We start from the raw sequence: 1661 nt of genomic DNA on the forward strand, positions 1-1661 counted from the left end.
GTCCTTACTCAAAGGGAGGACAATGATGGCATTTTGAGTCTCCAGATATCAGTACCAACTCAAACTTGCTCTGACAGCCTTCAAAAAGTCTGGGCATTCTCTTTCCCCAGAATACAGTTACGCAAGTGACTGCAGATTTTCATAGGTTTTTTTGAGGGAAGCCTAGGAAGGGGGCTGTCATTGTTTATACACCTTTGTTGCAGAATTCCAGGCCCGTCCTCAGAGGACTTGGTCTCTGAGAACTAGCTCTAGTCTGAAAATTAGACAAAGGATTTCCACTGGAGCAGCTGACCCCAGCTTTCTGCTTATCTGTTCTTGCTATCTTTTGATTATATATACATATAATTATATAATCTGTATATAAATTATATGTATATTACATACTATATATATTTGATTATTATATATAATAGCAGTATCTTTATGGGCTACCTATCTGTTTTGCTCTAGAAGTACTAAACTCTTTTTAAAAAAATATTTTCAACTTTCATTTTAGATTCAGGGGGTGCACATGCAGGTTTGTTACATGAATATATTTTGTGATGCTGAGGTTTGGGATGCCAATGATCCCATCAGCCAGGTAGTGCGCATAGTACCCAACAGTTAGCTTTTCAGCCCTTGCTCCTCTCTCTCCCTCCCCTCTCTAGTAGTCTCTAGTGTCTATTGTTACCATTTTTATGTCCATGAATACCCATTTACAAGTGAGAACATGTGATTTTTGGTTTTCTGTTCCTGTGTTAATTTGCTTAGGGTAATGGCCTCCAGCTGCATCCATATTGCTGTAAAGGACATGATTTTCTTCTTGTTTTATGGCTGCATAGTATTCCATGGTGTATTGGTCCATTCTCACATTGCTATAAATAAATACCTGAGACTGGGTAATTTATAAAGAAAAGAGGTTTAATTGGCTCTCGGTTCTGCAGGCTGTACAGGAAGCATAGGGGCATCTGCTTCTAGGGAGGCCTCAGGAAGCTTCCAATCATGGCAGAAGGCAAAAGGGGAGTGAGGAGTGTCACATGACAGGGGCAGGGGCAAGAGAGAGTGAGTAGGGAGGTGCCACACACTTTTAAATGATCAAATCCTGTGAGAACTAACTCACTACTGTGAGTACAGTACCAAGGCAGAGATGGTGCTAAACTATTCATGAGAAATTGCCTTCATGATCCAGTCACCGCCCACCAGGCCCCACCTCCAACATTGGGAATTACAATTTGACATGAGATTTGGTGGGGACATAGATCCAAGCCATATCACATGGTATATAGATACCACATTTTCTTTATCCAGTCCACTGTTGATTGGCACCTAGGTGTATTCTATTTCTTTGCTATTGTGAATAGTGTTGTGATGAACATATATGTGCATGTGTCTTTTTGGTAGAACAATTTATTTTGGATATATACCCCGTAGCAGGATTTGAAGTACTGAATTCTAAGAGCCATCCCCAGAGAGCCCAGTGGCTCAGGTCTCTGGCTGCCAGTGCTGAAATTCCTCCCATTTGCTTCTGCTATTTGGGGGCTTCTAGCATCTTTATTCTACTAGGTTGCTCAGTAACAATATCTCTAACCTTCAGCTCCAGCTAGTAGACGGCAGACACTACTGAGATCCTCAGTGATGCTTCTGGCCAGTAAATTTGTTACCATCTCAGTGAGCCACGTCTC

Source organism: Homo sapiens, chromosome 8 (genome assembly GCF_000001405.40).
Source record: "Homo sapiens chromosome 8, GRCh38.p14 Primary Assembly".
NCBI classification, from domain to species: Eukaryota; Metazoa; Chordata; class Mammalia; order Primates; family Hominidae; genus Homo; species Homo sapiens.